This window comes from Homo sapiens, chromosome 1 (assembly GCF_000001405.40).
Source record: "Homo sapiens chromosome 1, GRCh38.p14 Primary Assembly".
In the NCBI taxonomy this organism is placed as follows: Eukaryota; Metazoa; Chordata; class Mammalia; order Primates; family Hominidae; genus Homo; species Homo sapiens.
In genome coordinates this window covers 92,131,962-92,154,821 of record NC_000001.11, presented here as the reverse complement: position 1 = coordinate 92,154,821, position 22,860 = coordinate 92,131,962, and the positions used below count along the sequence as shown (strand labels likewise).

The 22,860-nt window shown below is 37.4% G+C and overlaps 1 protein-coding gene across 5 annotated transcripts in view; it reads right to left on the bottom strand.

The window, feature by feature from the left end:
• The window catches only part of BTBD8 (BTB domain containing 8), a 104,379-nt gene that overhangs the window by 29,902 nt on the left and 51,617 nt on the right, over positions 1-22,860 (bottom strand). For all 5 annotated transcript variants that reach the window (XM_047418461.1, NM_001376131.1, XM_047418464.1 and 2 more), the window contains exons 6-9: positions 15,392-15,472; positions 13,611-13,707; positions 7,554-7,642; positions 7,036-7,138 (exon numbers count right to left, since the gene is read on the bottom strand). In XM_047418461.1, the coding sequence (XP_047274417.1) occupies positions 7,036-7,138; positions 7,554-7,642; positions 13,611-13,707; positions 15,392-15,472 (370 nt within the window). The remainder of the gene's footprint in view (positions 1-7,035; positions 7,139-7,553; positions 7,643-13,610; positions 13,708-15,391; positions 15,473-22,860) is intronic.

Here is a 22,860-nt window from a genome sequence, read left to right as displayed (position 1 = left end):
AAAGGACAAGCAATAAAAGCAAACATAAACGAGTGAAACTACATCAAATTAAAAAGCCTCCATACAGCAAAGAAAACAAGACATTGAAAAAATCTACAGAATGGGGAAAAATACTGCAAACCATACATGTCATAAGGGGCTAATTCCAAAATATATAAGAAACTCCTACAATTTAATAGCAAAAATCTGATAACACTGTTAAAAATTGGCTGAAGACTTGAATACACATTTCACCAAAGATGACATACAAATGGCCAACAGGTATATGAAAAGATGTTCTATGTCATTAATCATCAGGGAAATGCAAATTAAAACCACAATAGGATGTCACCGCACATCTGTTTGGATGGCTATGATCAAAAAAATAAAAGATAACAAGTTTTGGTGAGGATGTGGAGAATAGGTAGTACTTGTACACTGCTGGCAGGAATGCAAAATGGTGCAGCTGCTATGTAGAACAGTATGCAGGTTCCTCAAAAAATTAAAAATAGAACTACCATATGATCCAAAAACCTACTTCTGGGTATTTGTGTTAACCTGTTTGCACTGCTATGAAAGGACTACTGCAGGCTAAGTAATTTATAAGGAAAAGAGGTTTATTAGCTCATGGTCCTGCAGGCTGTACAAGCATGGCACCCACATCTGTTCAGCTTCTGGTGAGGGCCTCAGGAAGCTTACAATCATAGTGGAAGGTAACGGAGGAGCAGGCACATCACATGGTGAGAGAGGGAGCAAGAGACAGAGTGGGGAGATTCCAGGCTCCTTCTCAAACAACCAGATCTCATGTGAACTACTAGAGTGAGAACTCACTCATCACCATGGGGATGGCACCAAACCATTCATAAGGGATCTGCCCCCATGACCCAAATCCCTCCCACCAGGCCCCACCTCCAACACTGGAGATTACATTTCAACATGAGACTTGGAGAGGACAAACATCCAAAGCACATCAGCATTCATTCAAAAGAACTGAAATCAGGATCCCAAAGAAATATTAGCACTACCATGTTCACTGCAGCACTATTTACAATAGCCAACATGTGGAAGCAACCTAAATGTCCACCAATAGACAAATGGATAAAGAAAATGTGGTGTATACATATAGCAGAACATTATTCATTCTTTAAAAAGAAGGAAATTCTGTAAGATGTGACCACATGGATGAATGTTGAGGACATTATCCTAAGTGAAATAGGCCAGTCACAGAAAAGGCAAATACTGTATGCTTCCATTACAAGTCAAACTCATAGAATCAGAGAATGGAATGGTGGTTGCCAGGAGCTGGGGAAGGGGAAAATGGGGAGTTGCTATCATTGGGCATTAAGTTTCAGTTACGAAAGATGAGAGATCAGCTGTTCAACTGTGTGCCTGTAATTGACAATACTGTATTGTACACTTAAAAATTTGTTAAGAGCATAGATACCATGTTAAATATTCTTTCCAAAATAAAATAAAATAAGTAAAGGATGAATAATATATAGAAAGTAATACTAATGAACTAGAATTGCCAGATAGAATTCATATATAAAATAAACTACTTCCCACAGGTAAAAGTCACATTAAGAAGAAATGGTCATAAGTAGTGCTTTGTGAGATATGCAAACACACAAGAAATTTTTTTAAAATGAAATTCATTTTTTAAGTTAGTGTCAAATGTGTAAAAATGTAACAATTTTGAACTATTTAAAAAAAACACTATTAATATTGCATGTACCTATTATAAGATTTTCTAAAAGGCCAATCTGGGGTTATTGCTAAAAAAAAGACTGCTTGCTCTTTCTGGGTAACATACTTCGAATTTTGAGAAAATTAAAATACTCTGTTTTCCATCAATAAAGCTAAACATATTTTACTTATACAATAAAATATGACAAATATGTTAAATTAGTGTTTCTTAAAACCTGATTATCCACAAAGACAAATTTTGAGACTAATCCCCATGATGCCAGAGGCTATTGATCAGACTGGATGTTTGGCTGTTCTGATGTTTATCTTTTTATCTGTCTTGAAAGAAAATGTCAAGTATTCACCACAAAGCTTACAAGGACCTAATTACAGCTATAAAATCAAAATAAAAGAGTATAGCATTGGGAGAGGCATAGTTTGATGGGCTTATTCTTCAATTAAAATCACATACCTACCACTTGCTTAAAAAAAAAAATCAAACTCGTTAACAAGATACTCAGCTAAAATCCCTCCCAATCTATCTTTAGCCTGTCCCCAGACTCATCTTCTCTCATTCCAGTTACAGCAGAATACTGACACTGCCTAGTCTCCATATCCCTGGTTACATTTTTAGTCTTTCAGGAATGCCCTAACCTACTTATTTTAAAATTGTCCTCTAACCAGGTTCATTTCAAATTAATTCTCTTATTATTCCAGTCAGATTTAACCTGTGTGATTCTATGTATACACCTGAATTCTAAGTTATACAATTCACTTACCTACCTATTTGACAATACATACTGAGTGCTAACATGTGCTAGGCACTGTTCTAAGGCTGAGGCTACAATGGTAAAGATTTGACATGTAACTTAATGCTTGTACTCATCATAGTCTAACCTGTATTTTACTTAGCTGTTTAAATGCCTATTTTTCCACCAATTTGTGAGTTTCTTGAAGTCAAGTCCCACGCATTAAAAAAAAAAATCTTTGCTCACATGGAGCACTTATCATATTATATTTAGAATAGTAGCAATTGGTTTTAAGACTAGGTTTTGCCTTTTACTGTCTTGGGAACTTGAACAGGGCACTTAACTCTTTGATTCTCTTTTCTCATATGTGAAGTAGAGACAACAGTACCTGTCTTATGCTAAATTTCACAAAAAAAGTATTTTGTGGAGCTCTATAAGTCTAAAAAAATCCACTAAATATTGGTACTGAGTGGATAAAGAAAATGTGGTACATATACACCATGTAATACTACTGAGCCATAAAAAGGAATGAAATGTCTTTTGCAGCAACTTGGATGGAGCTGGAGGCTATTATTCTAAATAATTCAGGAATGGAAAACCAAATACTGTATATATTCCATTCACTTATAAGTGGGAGCTAAGCCATGAGAATGCAAAAACATACACAGTGAAAAAATGAACTTTGGGGATTTAGGGAGGGGAGAAGGTTGGAAAATGTGTGAAGGATAGAAGACTATATATTGGGTGCAGTGTACATTGTTCAGGTGATGGGTACACTAAAATCTCAGACTTCACCACTAAAGAACTCACCCATGTAACCAAAAACTGCATGTATCCCAAAAGCTATTGAAAAAAAATAATTTAAAAAAAATACTGGTACTACTACTACATTAGGAAATGAACCTGACTCTTCTATTGAACAGAACTATAGCTGGGCCAATAATTTGTTAACTATTCACTGACCAACAAACTAATGTAAAACAGTAAGCAACAATACAACACAGTCCTTCATTAGCTAAAACACAGATTTACATTTACTTTTTTTTTTTTTTTTTGAGACAGTTTCGTTCTTGTTGCCTAGGCTGAGGTGGAATGGCACAATCCCAGCTTACTGCAACCTCTGCCTCCTGGGTTCAAGTGATTCTCCTGCCTCAGCCTCCCGAGTAGCTGGGATTACAGGCATGCACCACCAGGCCCAGCTAATTTTTTGTATTTTTAGTAGATTCGGGGTTTCACCATGTTGACCAAGGTGGTCTCGAACTCCAGACCTCAGGTGATCCACACACCTCGTCCTCCCAAAGTGCTGGGATTACAGGCGCGAGCCACCATGCCTAGCCTTACATTTACTTTTTGTAGTGGTATCTCACCAGCTGATATCTTACACTTATTTTCTCAGTTAGATTTTGACATATCTTCTATGTAACCCAGTCTGATGTTATCCTTCAGGGTTCATGGGACCACTAGGAGGTATTTATATATACATAGGAGGTTCGTGAATAATGTCATTTTGATTACCGTTGTTTTATTATAATGTTGATAAGGGAAAAAAGGATTCCTGGCCAGGCCATTGTCTGTGTAGAGTTTGCATGTTTTCCCCATGTCTGCATGGGTTTTCTCTGGACACTCCAGTTTCCTCCCACATCCCAAAGATGTGCACATTTAGTGAACTGGCATCTCTACAATGTCCCAGTATAAGTGAGTGTTCTGTGCTGTGAGTGCACCCTGCGCTGGAATGGTATCCTGTCCAGGGTTGGTTCCAACCTTGGGTCCTTAGCTGCAGACAGGCTCCAGCCACCCACAACTGAAACCAGAAAAAGCATGTTGGAAAATGAATGAATACAGAAATTATTGTAAAGTAAAAATTCATAAAGTATATGGTGACCATACAAATATATGACAATAAGCGATGCAGTATAAAAACATTCCATGAACCTGCCACATTTGTGATTGCTTTGGAACTGCATGTGGCAGGAGGTGCTTTTTACAATTTTTGCTTTGCAAACATTTATTCCTTGATTTAACCCACCATTGCTATTACTGCCACTCACAGATTCACCAAAAACTGGGTACTTATCTTGTTTTTATTAATATTTCTGAAATGTATGTATAGCTCACAATTATTTCAATATTCAATATAAGAAGTGTCTTGGGTCTCTACTAGAAGGCTGATGATCTTTTTGTGACCAGAAATATGCCATAGGAACTTAACTCTTGTTCATATCCATTAGTCTATAGTAAAATTAGTTTTGCTATACATTGTTTTGCTTAACGTCAAATTAGATTCCAAGATTCTAAGATTCCAAGGACCCATCAATGACATCGGTGCAGACTTATTGTATAAAGAAATTTGTTACAGGGAGTTGACCTTACACAACTGTAGGGGCTGCTTAAACAGCCTTTGTATCTGATGGTGTAGTTTGAATTCCACAGGGCAGGCAGATGAGAAGAGGAAAGATGGACGTAATGTTGGGGAGAGTGAGAACAAACTGACACCAAGAGAATCAGCTGGAATTGACAAGGATGGGCTCATGTCAGTCTTACTGCCTCCAGTCTGGACGCTATGGGTATCCTGCAGGAGATGCTGGTGCCTTTCATTGTGGAGCTAGACATATACCTGGCCCGGAGTAAGAGAAGCTGAAGGAGGATACAGGGCAAGGAAGAACAGTTACAGATCTGGCTGCAGTGAGCCAGTAAATAACTTTCCTAGTGTAAATGAACATTGCAGTAGTGTTCCAGCCTTCCTAGTGTAAAAGCCAAAAATAGCTGCTGTTTCACTCCCATCCTCCAAATTTCACACAAAATTGTCTCTTTTGGCCACTCTAACTAGAAACATACAAGAAGGAAATTCTGCGAAGTGTAGTTGACCCTAGTCAAACTGACATGTTACAGAGTCAACATCTTGTCAACCTGGCAACTATATACATCTCTTAAAACCATACTTAGTTCCCAAATGGAGAAAGTAACAGTCATGCTTCCATCTAACATGATACAACTATCCCTCCACACAACAAATATGCTAACCCTTTCCTTCTAAAAGAGGGGATATGAGTTCCTTTTTTTGTTTTTAGGAGATGTTCATTCTTCAATCTGATTCAGTTTTCTTTGATATCTGTACCTTAAATACGTAGATACAAAGTTAACTATTATTAACATGTCTTATATTAGATGACGGGGAATGAGACAGTAGGAGGAAAACAAAAATATTTGATTAATATATAGACAAACATATTAAGAAGGAATATGAACGTTTATATCAGAACTACTGCAGTGTTCACTTCTATAACTCCTCATGTAGCTGTAGCTGTTATTTTTACATACCTTTTTCTACTAACCACTCCATATTCCCTTTGCCCTCAGCAAGTATTTCACTGTTCATAGTTTCTTATCTGGAAGGGTAGCCCAAACTTTATTCCTGAAAAATCATCAGCACTGCCCAAATTGGGTTCTTATAGCTTTCTATTGATTTTACTCATAGAGCCTGGGAGTACTGCATTCCAGATGGTCTCTACATTATCCACATTGTATAGTAGCAACTCAATTTCCTCTTGATAGGCTCAATCTATCAATAATTCCCCTTCTTTGCCAGTGGGTTTACAGTGGCTACAGGAAGGCAGTCTCAACTTCCAGTTCAACAGAATCAATACTTGTGTCCCCACATGGAAACATTCTTCTTTTGGGGATTAAGACTTATAAATCAGCAGAGCCTAAAGTTGTGAGGAAAGGAAGCAAAAATTTTGCTACTGAATCACTAGGAGTAATTGTGTGTGGTGCCACACCTATTTCCAAACTTTGGTTTTTAGGCCCATAAATCCTGGCTAGAGGAGAAATAGCATAAATCAAAATCTGATTTACAGCATGTATTGCATCCTGGAGGATACTGCCCCCAGCCCCACAGGGCACTGCCACCTAGTTGGCACTGTAACTGAGTCTTCAAAGGCCTTTCCTCAATACTATCAAGCCAGCTGCTTCAGGATGATTGGAATCTTTCTAAGACCAGTGAATTCCATGAGCAAGGCCCAATTTCTATACTTTATTAGCTGGTAAGTGAGTACCTTATTCAGAAGTGATGCTGTGTGGAATATCATGATAATGGATAAGGCATTCTGTAAGTTCATGGATGGTGGTTTCGGCAGAAACATTATGAGCAAGGGAGGCAAATCACTATCCAGAGCAAATGTTTTTTTCAGTGAGAACAAAGCACGGCCTTTTACAGGATGGAAGTGATCCAATGTAATCAACCTGCCACCAGGTAGATGGCTGATTCCCTTGAAGAATGGTACCATTGAGAAGTTCAGTGTTGTACCCAGATCCACCTGGGTGAGTGGGTCAATACTGCTGAGCCAACGCATAAGCCTTTCTCTGTGGCACCATGTCTGCTTTGTTCATGAATCAATATACACATCCTAGTGGTTCTGCTTCTCTGTTTCAACCCTGACTGATGAGCTGGGTATGCAGAGTGGTTTCAAAGGAACTGAATCTTAGGATTAGGTTATCTGAATTGGTTCACGCCTCTTGCTTTTACAATATTTTACATTTATATTTCAACCACTGAAAGTACTATACAAAATTGAATAAACTTTTTAATGGCAAACACACAAAAGAGTATTCAGGTTATACTTACTAAGGACTGAATCAACATATTAAGACAACTTTTCTGAATCTCAGGAGGTATATTTGCAAAGCTTCTCTCAGACCAAAACCTTGCAAAATGCTTTACAATCCACCTGTTAAAATAAAAGAATACCACGTTAAAGAAATTAAGATGTTTTTCATTATAATAGTCAATATTTTGGTTTTCAATTACATAACTGTACATATATATGACCTGACTAATACTATTAATTTTATGAACCCTAAAATGGACTTTATATTCTCTTTCCTGTAAACATGTATTTTAAATCCATGTGCACAGATTTTAACATAATTAACCATGGTTCAGCTAAGATAAAATGATCCCAAGTAACTTGAGTAATATCTAAATTAATATTCTACTTAGTGGTGAAACTAGTTTAGCACTAAGCTACTTACTTACATTGTGTCCAAGAAAACAGGCCAACTCTAAAGTTCCCCACAAAATTAGAAGAACAGAAAAACAAAATCCCTAAATTAATAGTATCAGCACTACTTAACATAACTTACTTCATGCAGTCAGCAAAAAGACTTTCCACTCCAACTGAATGAGCAATAATCAGGCATTCTAGTATAGACGTCAATGTTCTGGGAACAGGCTAAAATTGATGGAAAACACCATATTTATTCCTTTTCAATTTACAAAGCCTAAAAATATTTGGTTCATAAAGATAATCCAATTTATATACCTAAACTGCAGAACACATACAACTCAAAATTTGATAAATTCAAAATTTATTTTCTATATTTAACTCTTTATCTGGAATTAACTTCTGCTGGTACTGAGGCTACAAACATGCTCTAGTCAGACTCTTAATTTTTTTCCTTAAAAACACCTTTCTACACAAAAACCTAAACATGAACGTTTTTAGCAGCTTTCTTCATAACTGCCCAAACTTGGAAGCAACCATGTTGTCCTTTACTAGATGAATGGATAAATAAACTGTAGTACATCCGTGCAATGAAATATTCAGCTCTAAAAAGAAATGTGCTATCAAGCCATGAAAAGACATGGGGGGATCTTAAATGCATATCACTAAGTGGAAGAAGCCAATCTGAAAAGGCTATATACTGTATGATTGCAACTATATTACATCCCGGAAAAAAACAAAACTACAGAGACAGTAAAAAGGTCAGTGGTTGCTGGGGGTTAATGGGGAGGGAAAGATGAGCAGTCAGAGCATAGAGGATTTTATGGCACTGAAAACACTCCGTATGATACTATAATGGTAGATACATGTCATTATACATGTGTATAAACCCATAAAATGTACAACACCAACAGCAAACTCTATTGTAAACCATGAATTTTGGATGATAATGTGTAACTGTATGCTCATTGGTTGTAACAAAGGTACCACTCCAGTGTGGGACGTTGATAATGGGGGAAGCTATGCATGTGTGGAAGAAAGTGGGTATGTAGGATATCTCTGTACCTTCCTCTCAATTTTGCTGTGAAACTAAAAATGCTCTAAGTTTTGTTTTTTTTTAAAGTCTGTTATTCTTTTAAAACCAAGTGTCACTAACAACTTTTAATTTTATGGCATATCATTTGAACTCTTTGGCTGTCAAGAATGCACACGATTTTTATTCTAATTTATTTTAGGTTAAATATCTTTTTTAAAGCAAAAGTAGTATAATAATTTCTAGCACATCACATTGCAATACAACATGGTCTAATCTGCTTCCTAACGTATAAATATAAATTAAAGTAATTGTGCAATGAGAGGCCCTATATTGATCTCAGATAAGAAGAATTTAATTAGATCATAATTACATGATGTATTTTTTTTTTTTTGAGACAGATTCTCACTCTGTCACCCAGGCTGGAGTGCAGTGGTGCGATCTCAGCTCACTGCAATCTCCGCCTCCTGGGTTCAAGCGACTCTCCTGCCTCAGCCTCCTGAGTAGCTGGGATTACAGGCGCCTGCCACCACGCCTGGCTAACTTTTTGTATTTTTAGTAGAGATGGGGTTTCACCATGTTGGTCAGGCTGGTCTTGAACTCCTGGTCTCGTGATCCACCCGCCTTGGCCTCCCAAAGTGCTGGGATTACAGGCGTGAGCCACCACACCCGGCCTACGTAAGGTATTTTTTAAAAGCACATACACAGAAATAATAAATGAAAACAAATAAAAGGTAGATACAAGTAGTGAAAACAACTCACTTCTCTTGTTACATATCCTTGCTATGTATTGCCCATGCCATGTATTTTCATGTTTTGGACGTTTCTAAGCACATTTATTTCTCAATTAGGTTGAAGAGTTTAATTTCTCTTTATACACTTTAAATAAAGACCATCAAACAGCCAATTTGTATATCTAGTCTCTAAATGTGTATTTCTGAAGATCTCCTCTCTCAGAGAAGAGCAAAACCTTCTTTGGAAATGTCTCCAGCATAGTCCTTCTGGTAAGGTCAGTGATTTCCAACTCTTTATTTATGAATTGCTATTGATTTGATTTTCTAATACCCCTCTCCTAAAAGTGTTATATTAGTATTAAAAAAATTGAATGTAGGCCAGGTGCAGTGGCTCATACCTGTAATCCCAACACTTTGGGATGTCGAGGCAAGGTGGATTACATGAGGTCAAGAGTTCAAGGCCAGCCTGGCCAACATGGCAAAACCCCATTTCTACTAAAAATACAAAAATTAGCCAGGCGTGGTGGCACATGCCTGTAATCCCAGCTACTCAGGAGGCTGAGGCAGGAAAATCACTTGAACCTGGGAGGCAGCTGGAGGTTGCAGTGAGCTGAGATCCCGCCACTTGACTCCAGCCTGGGTGACTGAATGAGTGAGACTCATCTCAAAAAAACAACAACAAAAAAGAAATTGAATGTAAATATTTTGCTTTGCATATTAACAACTTAAACAATTAAGATCCCTTTGAGATAACTGGAGATACTTTAAGTTATATAAAATATATACGTGTGTGTATACGTGTGTGTGTGTGTGTGTGTGTGTGTGTGTGTAGTTTTTTTTTTGGCTCTGTCACCCAGGCTGGAATGCAGTGGTGTGACCATGGCTCGCTGCAGCCTCAAATTCCTGGGCTCAAGTGATCCTCCCACCTCAGCCTCCTGAGTAGCTGGGACCACAGGCACATCCCACTATGCCTGGCTAATTTTTTTTAAATTTTTTGTAGAGACAGGATCTCCCTCTGTTACCCATGCCAGTTATAAACTCTTGGGCTCAAGCAATCCTCCTACCTTGGCCTCCCAAAGTGCTGGGATTACAGACATGAGCCTCCACACCAGGCCTAAAGTATACTTTTAATTGGTGACAAAAAAAAAAAAATGTAAAGCCTACCAAAATCCTATAAATGAAGTCCAAAATGTTTAATTGTGTAAAAGGCAGGATTGTGAAGCTAATGAAATTATTGAAGTTAGCTTGCTAGGAGTTCTGGGGCCGACTGCCCATCACATTATACCCATATTTGTATTACTGTATAACATTATTATAAGTTTATGATATTTAAGTCACAGCCAAAAAATTGCATAATTAAGAACTAAGGCTGGGCACAGTGGCTCACTCCTGTAATCTCAGCACTTTGGGAGGCCAAGGCGGGTGCATCACCTGAGGTCAGGAGTTAGAGACCAGCCTGACCAACATGATAAAACCCCGTCTCTACTAAAAATACAAAAATTAGCCAGGCATGGTGGCACGCGTCTGTAGTCCCAGCTACTGGGGAGGCTGAGGCAGGAGAATCGCTTGAACCTGGGAGGCAGAGGTTACAGTGAGCTGAGATCGCACCACTTGCACTCTAGCCCGGGTGACAGAGGGAGCCTCCAACTCAAAAAAAAAAAAAAAAAAAAAGAACTAAAAGTTCAAAATTATATATATTCAAAAGTATATTTATAAAAATATACATTAAGAAATATAAAGCAAAAATTTTAAGGATTAGGTCAACAAAACCAGAAATTGTTCTCTCAAATATCTGTTACCACAGCAAAATAGACAATATTAAAATAAGTGGCTAGGCACAGTGGCTCATGCCTGTAATCCCAGCACTTTGGGAGGGCAAGGTGGGTGGATCACCTGAGGTCAGGAGTTCAAGACCAGCCTGACCAACATGGTGAAACCCCGTCTCTACTAAAAATACAAAAAATTAGCTGGGCATGGTGGCACGCTCCTGTACTCCCAGCTACTCAGGAAGCTGAGGCAAGAAAATCGCTTGAACCTGGGAGGCAGAGGTTGCAGTGAGCAGAGATCGTACCACTGCACTCCAGCCTAGGCAACAAGAGCAAAACTCTGTCTCAATAAATAAATAAATACATACGTAAATAAATAAATAAAAGCAAAAAAAGTTTTCAACAAAATACCGTACTGATAATTAAAAATAAACTTCATTTTCTGTTTTTATTAATAATATAAAAAATGTCTTTTGTGTTTTTAAAATAAAGTGAATTATTGAAAATAAAATACAAGAAGCTGCATAAAACCCACATATACTCATCCACATATTAAAAAAAAAATAGAGGCAATGGTCCCAAGACTACTCATAAAAGACTATTTTTACAGCTTTTAAGGCTCTTAAATAAGCTTTAACTGGCTTACTGAAGAATCTCAGCTCAGAGAAGACACTAACATGAGACTTTTTATTTTCCCAACGAATGCTTTCAACCACACTATGTCAAATCTCCCCTTTTTCCCATCCCTTAATGAAACTATAGGCAGATTCTAGTACTTTCTGGATACTATTGTTATTGAAATTCAGCACAGTACTATTTTAACACCTATCTTTTCATTGTATCTGATTTAAATCTTTCCCTCCCCATTGCTGACTAGATTTATGGTTGAGATGTGAAATAGAGAGTAGAGCATGGTCTGATCTCCTGCTCCTCCATTTTCTGGGTCAAATTCATATGGAAGACTATAAATGGCTCTGGTCACCTTACTTAATTAAGCAGAGACCAAGATGGTAGTAGGGAGATGTCCTTAGCTTTGTTCTAATTCAGATACTGGAGGCCTTTATTGATGTAATGGCTCCTTTAGTGGCAGATCAAGCTTCAACCTGGCCTCTCTGTAGATAAGAACTCTTCAAGTGGCTCACGATGCACAATACCTCCCCAAGTGGGACATGGTGTCATCTAGCCCTGTATCAGTCTCCTCTAACTTTCATGAAACCATTAAGGTCCTCCTCCTTCGCTGTGGACCATGTGTAACCGGGGTGCAGAGTGGACTCCTCATACTTCTTTTCTCTGTATGACAATAACTGTAGTTCCTTACACCAAGGCTGGTTTTGGCTTCTCCAGCAAGCCTTCTCTCTTTAGAAATCTCCTCACTCAAGTATATTCTCACTGGCTTCTCAGACATACTCCAAGCTCTCCTAAGAAATTTCTTATCACTTTCTCTTCGTCTCTGATAGAAGCTCCAGGGTGGGATGGTTTTACAGATATAGTTAATGTTCATCTAGGGGATGAGAAGACATCATCTCCTCATTGCAGATATTCTCTAGCTTTAATCTTTGTGATTTACTTGGATCCCCCTAACTTTCACTTGGCTGGAAATATGAGGGAGACATATGAAGAAGGAAGAACCTTTGACCAGAATTCCTCACTTTCTACAAAGCTGAGGACACCACCAGCTGCCCTCCTTCTTCCAAGGCCCTTATTTACAGAGGCTGAAGTGAATGGTTCGTTAAAGGAAGCCGAGGGGTTAACTATTTCTCAGTAAACCTTATGGGGTTGGTAGTGTTCGTGGTACTAGACCCAGTTGTTTATGGCTTTCGTTTAGCACATGGGCTGCTTCTGCAGCTACAACTTGTAGGGAGGTAGAAAAAGACCTACCCAAAACAAAAATCTAAATTTAAGCGTTATTAAAACCACCTAATTAGAATTCATACAATGCATATTATTGCTTCAAACACCAGTAAGAGAGAAATATGATGTAAAAAGTTAGATTTGTTTTTATTGATTATAAAAGTAATACACATTCTTTGTAGAAAATTTTAAAAACATAGAAAAGCATAAATAAGAAAATAAAAATAACCTACAGTCGCAGAATGTATTAAAACCATGGGTAATCTAAGAATAATGTATGAATGGCTTCAAAATGCATAGTATGAGATCTTTCTTTAGATGTTTAACTTACCTTTGCAGTAACTAAAATTAAAATTAGTTAGTATCCATAGGTCACCTGAAGAGACTGGCATAAGAGAACTACATTCCACCCCAAGTCCCTGCTATAAAGAGAAGTGGTAGAAAGAAGGATTACACTTTCAGGAATAAGAACAAATAAAGCACTGTGTAGCCCTTTGATAAATGGGGAAAGTAACCTTAGTTCTTAACTTCCTTTCTCCTAGTTCCAAACTCTGAGCACCTTTGAATTATACAGGATACTCCTACTCAATACCTACCCTCCCATCAATTTTGTTTTACTTAAAATTATTTGAATTAGTTTCTGATTTTTACAAGCAGATCATATGAATTATTTCTCAACTGGAGTTCTCATTAGTTAAATTTACTTAATATTTTAAATATTTAAAGCACTATTACTATCAGAGTTAAAAATCTAGCAGGTAATAATGGGTGACAATGCACTGGATAAAAGATTTCTGAGGCTCAATAATTACCTTCTGAAAGAAATTACAGTAATCTCTTCTTAAAATATAGATTGCTACTTCTTTTAATCCTTCTAGTCCATACATATCAGCCATATTGAGTATCTGACTAAAATAAAAATAGATGCACTGTTAATTCTCCAATTTAAAAATCAAGGCACAACACATACTAATTTATTGATAATATATAGTCTGTTTTTAAAAAAGAATAATCTGAAATATTTTAATTCTAATTTTCTGCCTTACATAACATACACCCTTTATGGATTATAAACAGGGCATAGGCCAAAAGTTGAAAGCACTGACACATGATTTGATTAGTAGAGAACAAGAAATAAATTTGGAGATGTCTCAAATTCCCTTCATATACTAAGTGACATACAGAACAAAATCCAAGAAATTGCTTTAAAGGCTGTAAAAGTTACAAAACTCTCTGCAACAAATTTGTATAATAAAAGTTTCTTGGCAGGGGCGGGGAGGCAATTCACTAATGTCTGATCATATTGAAAATGTCTACAAATAACCCTAAGATTGGAGATAGCATCCAATGACCAGAGTTTCTTTTGCTTCTTTCATTTGGCAAGTATTTCTGAACACCTACACATACTTTAGGTACTTAAGAAGCCTACAAGCTTTGAAAGAATGACAAAATTTTGTATAGGTTGCCAGGGGACAAAACCTTAGTAGTAAATCCTGGGACTCATGGTATGTTCTCCTGAAAAACATGTTTATTCAGTTTAAAATTAAAGGAACCAAGTAATTTTTAAAATTAAAAAAGTAGCTTTCATTTGTCTGATGTTAGAATAGCAAGAAAATGGAAGACATCTAGAAAATTAAAAGAGCAAGGTGAAATTTCACTCCCAAGTAGGATTTCAGAGGCTTAGATGGTATTTCACTATAGCGCATTTAAAAATCACAGTTGTTGGTCTTTAGGATGCCCTATATTCTTTTTGGTTTTTTTTTCCCCCAAGAACCGGGTCTCGCTACAGTCCCAGGCAGATCTCGATCTACTGGGCTCAAGCTATCCTCCCGCCTCTGCCTCCCTAAGTGCTGGGATTACAGGTGTGAGCCATCACGCCTGGCAAATGCCCTATATTCTTTTTTTTTTTTTTTTTGAGACAGAGTCTCGCTCTATCACCAGGCTGGAGTGCAGTGGCATGATCTTGGCTCACTGCAACCTTCACCTCCCAGGTTCAAGCGATTCTCCTGCCTCAACCTCCCGAGTAGCTGGGACTACAGGTGCACACCACCATGCCCAGCTTTTTTTTTTTTTTTTTTTTTTTTTTTTTTTGTATTTTTAGTAGAGACGAGGTTTCACCATGTTAGCCAGGATGGTCTCGATCTCTTGATCTTGTGATCCGTCCGCCTCAGCCTCACAAAGTGCTGGGATTACAGGCGAGAGCCACCGCACCCAGCCCCTATATTCTTAACTATGTTTTTTCTTTTCTTTTGCTGTTTAGAAAAGATATCCTAAAATTTAAAAAGTAGTAATTTTTAAAGTTTGATAAAAGTTTAATCAATTTATTGATCTATAAACCATAATTTATAGCTTCTTCTAAATTTAAGTCTAATAAAGACTGTTCTCAATCTTATTACTGTGAGTTGATAAGTCACCTTTTCTTCTAAATAAGATGATTTGCTTATTGTTTTTAGATGTTCTCAAAACCTACTGAAGATATAGTATAATAGACTATAAAAAGCAAAGTTTCTACTTCATTAACACTTTGCAACACAGCTCAACAAAGCAGAACCTAACTCTTTTATATTTTAAATTATTAAAAAGGAATACATACCCAACATTAGTTTTGTCTGGAATGTCCAGAGTTCCTCCATATATAAAATGCATCATAACATTCAGTTCTACATGGCTTATACTGAAAAATAAAAGAAAACTCAAATCCAGAATTAAGGTTTAACTGATATCAATGATTCATTCTATTTTCCCATAAACTTCGAGCCAAGATGATGTTCTAATCTTCCTTTTACCTGAAGAATATACTCTTCAAATAACATCCATGCAGGTATACCATTAATTTAAACAGAACTACAACAATGGATTTTTATATAAGTTATACAAGGTTATTAGTATGTTATCAAATCATTATTTATTGAGCGTCTTCTACCATACACTTTTAAAGTTAGAAAACACTTCTACTCACTGTCTAACCTCTGGCTCATTAAGAAATCCTCTTCTCAGCATTTTCAACAAACGCCCTCTGGTCTTGCTTAAAGACTCAAATGTACAAATCTATTCACTAGGAAGATTCTTGTTATGCTGCACAGATTTCTTAATTTGTAACACCTGTCAGTGGCTCTAAGATTGGCCAACGTACTCATTACACAAATGAAAAAGAAAAGGCATGACTTAAGAGGTAGTTTGGAATGATAACCTTTATATCCAATTGAGTGCCATATCTCAAACTCTAAATTCATGACCTTCTTCTTACTCCCCACACCAAACTTAGTCCTCTTTCTGTTATTCCCATCTTGTTGAGAGCACTGCTACATAGCGTCTTGCATCTTACCCCAGCCTCTATTCCTCTATACTAAAGGGAGTGAATCATGTGGTTGGTGGACAACAACTGGTTATCAGTTGGGAGGAACTCCAGATAAGAGGTAATCTGATATATGTTCTCCTTTCTTCTCTGCTGAACCAGTGGGAAGAGATGATGGAGAAGAAGTATATCTGCCATGCAGATTCAAACTTTCTCTCAGGTGAGCTGTTTTAGAGGGATACAGTAAGCAAGCCAACTTTGGCTCTTGCATTAGAGCACATTCTACAGGTTGAGCATTGCTAATCTGAAAATCGGAAATCTAAAATGCTACAAAATTTTAGCATTTTATGAGAGATAGTGACACCTTTGCTTTCCGATGGTTCAATATACACAAAATTTGTTTCATTCACAAAACTATTTAAAATACTTTATAAAATTGCCTTCAGGCTATAAGGTGTTGTGTAAGTTGATTATAAAAATTGGATCATTCTTTTCATACCCAACTAAATCAGAGTCAAGTTGTGGGGGGCAAAAGCACTTGGGGCACATAGCATCTGCTTCAAGAATTGAATTTTCCACATCGCCAGCTGCAGAAACAGCCTGCTGTAACCCTAAGAACTGTTTTACCTAGTAGCTGCTGAAACAACCTGCCTTGACTAGTCTTACCTACCGCCTTCACTCAAATCAGAGTTTGCAGCTCCCAAAAGCTTCTCTAGTGCCAATGAGCTTCCTTTCCAAACAATACATGTTTCTCAAGTAAAACCCCCAACCTCTCATTGCTCTTCAGACATATGGAAGATCACAACAGTCTGTGTGTAGGCTCTGAATTGTAATTCTATGATTCTCAAATAAAACATTTAATTTAGAGATTTGTCTCTATATTTTATTTTGAATTTGACAGTGTATACGAAACATAAATAAATTTTGTGTTTAGACTTAGGCATCATCCCCATCCCCAAGTCCCAAGATTTCTCATTACTACATATGCAAAGATTCTAAGATCTGAAAAAATCTGAAACACTCTGATCCCAAGCATTTCAGATAAGGGATACTCAATCTGTACTGCTTTAACAGTTTTTATCTGTAATAAAGGAAATATTTTCTTACTTCACTTACTGATTATTTTGTCTTATTCTGAACAGGAAGGAAGTATGCTATTTATTGGGCCCCCTTGAAGACTCCAACAGACATTATTCATCTATATGCCTAAGTCAGAACCTGAGGTTCATCTTAGTCCTCTCCCTCACTATGTCCTGTCAATCATTTGTACCTTCCAGAATTTCTTGAGTTCAGCCTCTGCTCTCTATTTCCTCTTTCATTGCCCTGGTTCAGCCTCTTATTTTCTCCCATCTGTACTATGACCGTATCCTCTCATACAGGTTTCTGGCCTGGAATCTTCCACTTGCATCCCATTTCCCAAATTACTATTAGGGTGACTTTGCTAAAATGAATATACGATATAGTATCCTGCTTAAACTCTTCAATTATTCTATTTTAAACTCTAATAAAACTCTTAATTATTCTCCAAAGCCCATAAAAGAAAGTCCAAATTCCTTTATCATCTGACCTCCAGTTCTCCCTCTCTAGCAGCTGTTCCAAGATAACTAAACTTACTCATTTTCTATACCTGAGCTACTTACACTTCCTTATACATCCATGTCTTAGCACATACCGTTCACTGTGCTTAAAATGCTTTCCCCTCTCCACTTATTTTATCTTTCAGACACAAGACATGTGGCTTTTTATCCCTGATTGTTTCCTAATGTACCCAAGGTGAAAAAAAATTACTGAATGTTAAAAACAACAATTATCACCTATTGAGCACTTATGAGCCAGTCCCTGAGCTAATAAGTATTCTGAATGCTATTGGCTCATTTAATCACCATACCAACTCTACAGCAGATACCACTATTAGTCTCATTTTATACATGAAGAAACTGAAATTAAGTAAATTGCCCAAGATCAAAATGCACTGGAATTTAAATCCAGGCAGACTGAATCCAAAGCCTGGGCTCTGAAGCAGTATACTACACACACTTCCATTATCACATTTATCAAACTGATTTGCAGTATTTTTGTTAACACATCTGTCTTTCCTTCTGAACTGTGTTCTGCAAGGGCAGGGTCGTGCCATTTATCCTTGTATCTCTGATAACAGCAGAATGTCAGCAATGATTCAATACCCCCAGGATCAGAAGAATTTCCTTTCCCCACGTAATACTGGGCCTCTGCAGTAGAATCATGATCTGGACAGTGCTGGCAAGATCCCTACAGTTTGTTAAGCATAGTACCTAATATCTGCTAAAGAAACAAAATGAGGAAGGCAAGAAGAAAACAAATGGCTATGTTCTCAATGGCAGGTTCATAAAAAGAAAAAAAAAAAAAAGAAGAAAATAAGTGGAGTCCCAGAAAGCAGGAATCAGAAGGAATCAGAAAGGTGTTTGCTTTGATTCTATGGCCTTAAATAATATATGTTCAATAAATGTTTGATAAATGTTTAACAAATGGCTTATTAGGGCACTTACAGCATCTTCTCAAACCTTCAGAGGGAGACTAAATTGAAAATACAGAAACACTTTTCCATTAATTAAATAAATATTTACTGATCCCTACCATGGCTAAGTACTAGTTTCTGCTGATTCAAAATTCTGCATCTTTAATACTTAGGAAATAAAGTCAAATATCTAAATGTTCTCATTTATGTACTACAGATATGACAAGATTTAATCTCAGAATAATTAAGCATATTATCTGTAGTTTGCTAAAACCCTAGCATAATTACTTGAATGTGTAATACTCTCTATACTTTTCCTCAGAATTTCCAGAACGATTCTTATCAACATTAATAAGAATTGGCTATTTATGTTGAAATAATAGTTTCTTAAAAAATACTTGATATGTTAAGCAAAAGATAATGACTAAATAAAAATAAGTCATATTAAAATAAACAGCAAAATCTAGACATTTGAACCTATATATCAATATATATGATACTATAAAAAGGGTAAGAAATAGTTTTCCTGCTGTCTTGAGAGATGTTTTACTAAGCTGCATTCTCATTATATTTTAAGTCATTTGTATTGTATTTTTTACTAAAAGTGTTTATAAGACATGATCAACTGACCTAGAAAAGCAATAAATTGTTCCAATAGCCCATAGTTTAAATGGAAAGATTTAAAGCACTATTCCCATTAAAATGTAATCAGAATAAAAGCTTACAGGAGATGAAAACATTACATGTATTCAGAAAAAAGAAAAACCGATTTTAGGACAAAGATCTAAGATCAGAGACTAAACATGAACGTAGATTACTAAAATCTCTGTGTTACCAGCCTGGCCAACATGGTGAAAACCTGTCTCTACTAAAAATAAAAAATTATCTGGGTGAGGTGGCACACGCCTGTAATCCCAGCTACTCAGGAGGCTGAGGCAGGGGAACTGCTTGAACCTGGGAAGTGGAGATTGCAGTGAGCCAAGTTCGCGCAACTGCACTCCAGCCCAGGCGACAGAGCAAGACTGTCTCAAAAAAATAAATAAAATAAGGCCGGGCACAGTGGCTCACGCCTATAATCCCAGCACTTTGGAAGGCTGAGGTGGATCACCTGAGGTCAGGAGGTCGAGACCAGCCTGATCAACATGGAGAAACCCCGTCTCTACTAAAAATATAAAATTAGCCAGGCATGGTGGCACATGCCTGTAATCCCAGCTACTCAGGAGGCTGAGGCAGGAGAATCGCTTGAACCCGGGAGGTGGAGGTTGCAGTGAGCCGAGATCACGCCACTGCACTCCAGCCTGGGCAACAAGAGTAAAATTCTGTCTAAAAAAAAAAAAAATTAATTAATTAATTAATTAAATAAAATAAAATCTCTGCTTCATTGTGTCCTTTCTAAAGTTTCAGGCTCCTATGTGGAGCCCTGTGTGTGGGCTAAGGGGACACAGAGACTCCATTCATTCACTCATTCTTTGTTCATTCATAATTAATATTTTTGAATGACAGGCTCATTCTAAACTTTGTAGATATAAGAAGTTTAACATTCTAGTGGAAGGACATGGGCAATATTAAAAAGATAATTTTGATAGTCAAAGTGCCATGAAGACAACAGAATAGGATTATATAAGAGAGAGTAACTGAGGAGTTGGTCTGTAGCTATATTAGGTGACAGTCTGGGAAGGTGATGCTTGATCTGAGATTTCATGCATGAGAAGAAGCCAGCCATGCAAAATACTAGGTGAAAAACTCTTAGGCAGAGGAAGCCAAAAAAACAAAGGCCCTGATGCAGGAATGAACTTATTGGAGGAAAGATCCACAAATGCAGGTAAGAATGGTACAAAACTAGAGTGAGGCCAGGGGCCAGATCATGGAGGGTCTTGCAGGTCATGGTCAAGAGTTTGGGTTTAATTATAATTATAATGAGAAGACACTGAAGGATTTTAGTCAGGACAGAAAATACATCTCATTTATATTTCAAAACTTATATTGAAGGCCAGGGCAATCCCAGGAATCTCTCAAGGGAGATAGGAAAATCCAAATTTATGCTCCAAAGCCCAGGCACCACTGGAAGACTTTTAATTAATAAAATGAAACAAGTGGAGTTCCTTCACAGAAGTGTTGGCTGTGGTTCAATTTACATTATAGTATGTGGAAAATTTTCCCTTTCTGTCTGCTAGAGCAGGAAAATTTCCTTCCAACTATATCCTTCCACTCCCCAACTCTGGGGCATGGATGGAACTAGGATCATAGAATTCTTTTTTTTTTTTTGAGACAGAGTCTCACTCTGTCACCCAGGATGGAGTGCAGTGGCACGATCTCGGCTCGCTGCAAGCTCCGCCTCCTGGGTTCACGCCATTCTGCTGCCTCAGCCTCCCAAGTACCTGGGACTACAGGCGCCCGCCACCACGCCCGGCTAATTTTTTGTATTTTTAGTAGAGATGGGGTTTCACCGTGTTAGCCAGGATGGTCTCGATCTCCTGACCTTGTGATCCGCCCGCCTCAGCCTCCCAAAGTGCTGGGATTACAGGCGTGAGCCACTGTGCCCGGCCAGATTATAGAATTCTGCTGTCCCCACACTCAAATTATTGAAGGCAGTTCCTCTTGAAAAATACTATGTGCATTATGTTCTCAGTATCTGGTGAATTACTAACTCACTAAAAATATGGTGGTTCCTTCTGTAAGGACAGACAGGATTGTCTTCGAATCTATTGATGGAAAACATCCTGCAGACATGCAACAGTGGCACAGTTCCAAAAGAAGCTGCTGGTTATGCAAAGTAAGCATTGCTGTCCTGGTATTGGGAAAGGCCCTCACTTGAACCCTTTTCTCTCTAGAAAATGACAACAATCTAATTTAGAGAAAGAAAGAACAGTCAATATTAATGAGCACTACATACTATGCCAGTTTCTTTCCTTACTGTATCTCATTTAATACTTTCAACCACCTCAGGAAGCTCAGGAAAGTTAAGGAATGTCCCCAAAGTCATAAAACAAGTTAGGACTGGATATACTACTGCCTGTAAGGACACCAAGGTTTATGATCCTTCTATGACACCACACTTCTCATGGAAACATCTGCCCAGGTTTACAATGTAAGTTAATGGGAAACTGGAATTTGTTTTGTGTATTGTTTCAATATACAAATTCCTAAAAGATGTAATTTTTTAAAGTAAAATTCCTTAATCCCCTTTAGCCTTCCAACAGCTTTATATGCCACAATGCTAATAATTTGAGACAATCAATTTGATACATGATACAACAGGGAAAGGCAAAATATATCATAGCACTGTGTGATAATAATAATAAAGGGTATAGATGAAACCATGCATCCACCAGGTGATTCTTCTTTTAGTGTTACAGAACCTTGCTTTATCAAGCAAGATAAAGCATTTGAACAACAACAACAAAAGTATCTTCATTTTCAATGCATTAACATTAGGAGTCAATAAGCCAATTAGAGGTGAGCCTCCACTGTTAATAAAGCAGCTCTAGGTAAAATGAACCAGTGAGAAGCAAAGCCTTGCTTACAGTAAAAGTTAAGGGAAAATACTGTAAGAGGGGTGAGCCTGGTCATGCCTGGCACTAATACAGTGTATGGTCTACTTATTCAGATGACATTTTGAAACTAACTGGGCTACTTCTATTTGGCTTTCCCTTGAACAAGCTACTAAAGTTGGTCAACAGGAGTCTAGCCACACTGCAAAAGGGGTTATTTATCCATTACTTCCATTATAAATTAAAGACAGAAAATTACAGGTGAAAGAGTAGAGACGAGTAATTGATGTCACTATTTCTTTCTTGCCCACTGACCTCTGCCCACTGGTCTATTAATAAATAGACCTCATCTTTAAAAGCCTGAGTGTTTGAATGTTTAATCTCATCAGCTCATGAGGGGTGATTAAGGAAGACTGAAAAAAAAAAAAGGACACCCCCTTGCCTTTATTCATATAGCTAAACTCAGAGGTCACCTTGAACTATATAAAACAGATAGAAGTTGAAGAGGCATCCCTTTCCAAATGGCCTTCCCCTAAGATCCCAATCCTATGCCATGTGTTTCTCCTAATGTGCCTACTAGGAACTTTAGGGTTCTGTGGGACAAAGATTTACACAGTGGAGAAGAAGAGCAGTCTGAGCTAGCTCAAGAACACATACCAATCGGAAAACTTTTAAATTTCTTCAATGACTGTGGTAGAATGAACTCTGAATTATGATTTGACAAATGTGATTTAAGCTGGGTCCGGTGGCTAACATCTATAATCCCAGTACTTTGGGAGGCC